Source organism: Homo sapiens, chromosome 17, assembly GCF_000001405.40.
Source record: "Homo sapiens chromosome 17, GRCh38.p14 Primary Assembly".
NCBI classification, from domain to species: domain Eukaryota; kingdom Metazoa; phylum Chordata; class Mammalia; order Primates; family Hominidae; genus Homo; species Homo sapiens.
In genome coordinates, this window is record NC_000017.11 from 36,098,853 (window position 1) to 36,101,504 (window position 2,652).

General features: G+C 43.4%; 1 annotated feature.

Moving 5' to 3' along the window:
• Positions 480–680: a silencer, noted in NCBI's record as "peak2824 fragment used in MPRA reporter construct". NCBI's record gives its function as "represses an SCP1 promoter by STARR-seq MPRAs in K562 erythroleukemia cells {active_cell/tissue: K562}" and the evidence as "EXISTENCE:reporter gene assay evidence [ECO:0000049][PMID:32103011]".

The window sequence follows — 2,652 nt, forward strand, 5'->3', positions numbered from 1 at the left end:
TCTGTACCGTGGCAAAACAGATTGGGATCAGGTAAAACCACAGGCCATGGATATACTGAGGAAAATGAAAAAATACCAGGACATTTTCAAGGTCATGTTACTGCTGTGGCTGCTGGGCCTGTCTGCAGCCTGGGAGGTTGAGGACAACATGACAAGACAAATGTAAAAATGCCCAGAATGGAGTTATGAATATAGTGGTGGTCAAGGATGTGGAGGGGGAACCTCTAAATGACCACAAGTGAGGGGGAAAGAAGGGCTTCCCTGCTCAGGGTGAGGGGGTGGACCTCTGAATGGAGCTCCCTGGAACCAAGGATGACCCTTGCTGTCACTTCTTGCAACCCTGAGCTAAAAACAGTTGAGTCCAAGAATAGTATCCATTGTGATAAAACTACTGGATGCGTGGGTTGAGGGTGGGGGAGAAGGGGAAGTACCACACTATCAGGGCTGAGGAATCACCTTTTGGGTGGAATGTCAGAACACCCAGTTCATTCATACTTGGTTTACTCATTTGGCTATATAGGGGTCCACATCTTGAGTCCATGTTACTCATCACATTCCCTCCATGGAGATAAGCATAAACAGTTTCTGCATCAAGGAGCTCACTTTCTAGTTGGGGAGGCAACCACAGGAATAGATAAATATGTCATAGGTGGTAAGAAGAAATAGTTCAGGAGACTGTAGGAGCACAGTGAAGGATACAGAGTTTACTTGGGAAAGAGGTCAGGAAAGTTTCTCTAGGGAAGATGGGAATCTTTTTCGTCATGTATCTGAGAGTCATTTGTTATCATTGATTATTGGCTCTCCTTGGCTTTCCAGTCTCCACATTTGCCCTCCAGGAGTTCTAAATGGCACCAGTGCCTAAATCTTGGGGTGGGGGAAGTTAATATGGCTAAACGAAATGATACAAGTCCTTTTTACTCTCAGTGTGGACTTCCACTGGTGCAGACATAGTATTGTTGTTAGGATCTTCATGAAGATCTCTCAAAACCTTTTACCCCCATGAGCCAAAGATCAGATCAAGGCGAGGAAACAAAAGTCAACAGACAAACTCATTGTATGGCTCAGTGATGACTAATCACCCATTTTATCAATCATTATTCTCCTGAAGCCCCAGAACAGGCTTCCTCCTAACCCCTCCACCCTGCTCATTCAGACAGCTGCTTTAGTGGGGATTGAGACTTAACTTGAAACTACTCATCTACAGCTAATAGACAGCCTTCTCCATCCTTCAGCCTTCCTGACACTTTGTTTCTTCCTCTGACATGACACTTAGCTTATTCCTCCTCATGGGATAGTTATTTCTGTCACTGTCAATGCCATCACTAGACATGGAACTCTTCGAGGGCAGGGATGGGGCTTCATTCAGCTCTGTCTGCCCTGGCAAAGAGCAGATGGTTAGTACATTGGGTTGAATAAAAATGTCATAGATAACGAAGTCTGTGTTAATCCAGAGGACATGAGACACATTCTGCTTCCCTTAAAGTGAGGTCCTCGATGCATGAAGATGAAACTGCACCAACTAGGAAAGGCCAGGAGAGGTACTAACACATCTGCTATCAGGGAACTCGGAACATTACAGCTGGGGGCGAGGGTCTTGGAGAAGATCAGAACATTTGAAAAAAGAGCTGTACAAAGAAAAGGGGGAGAGAACAGATGAGAGAAGTGCAGCTTGTGTGTGCGGGTGGGGAGTGAGGGAGAGTGCTGAGGCAGGATGACCTTGTACTTTATTTAATGACCCTGAAGTACCCCAGGATGCTGCTCCAACCTCTCCTATGGCTCCCAGATGCTGTGGGTCCCTTTTTTTCTTAACTTGTATTTTAGGTTCAGGGGTACATGTGCAGGTTTGTTATATAGGTAAGTTGTGTGTTGCGGGGGGTTTGGTGTACAGATTATTTCATCACCCAGGTAATAAGCATAGTACCCAATAGGTAGTTTTTTTTATCCTCACCCTCCTCCCACCCTTCACCCTTAAGTAGGCCCTGGTGCCTGCTGTTCCCTTCTTTGTGTCCATGTGTACTCAATGTTTAGCTTCCACTTATAAGTGAGAACATGCAGTATTTGGTTTTCTGTTCCTGTGTTAGTTCGCTTAAGATAATGGCCTCCAGCTCCATCCATGTTGCTGCAAAGGGCATGATCTTGTTCTTTTTTTTTTTTTATGACTGAGAAGTATTCCATGATATATATATATATATATCCCAAATTTTTTTTATCCAGTCTACCATCAGTGGGCATTTAGGTTGATTCCATGTCTTTGCTATTGTGAATACTGTTGCGATGAACATACATGTGCACATGTCTTTATGGTAGAATGATTTATATTCCTTTGGGTATATACCCAATAATGGGATTGCTGGGTTGAATGGTAATTCTGTTTTAAGTTCTTTGAGAAATCGCCAAACTGCTTCCCACAATGGCTGAACTAATTTACATTCCCACCAGCAGTGTATAAGTGTTCCTTTTCTCCACAGCCTCACCAACATCTGTTATTTTTTGACTTTTTAAAAATAGCCATCCTGACTGGTTTGAGATGGTATCTCATTGTGGTTTTAATTTGCATTTCTCTAATGATTAGTGGTGCTGAGCATTTTTTGTATGTTTCTTGGCCGCGTGTATGTCTTCTTTTGAAATGTGTCTGTTTATGTTCAATGCCCA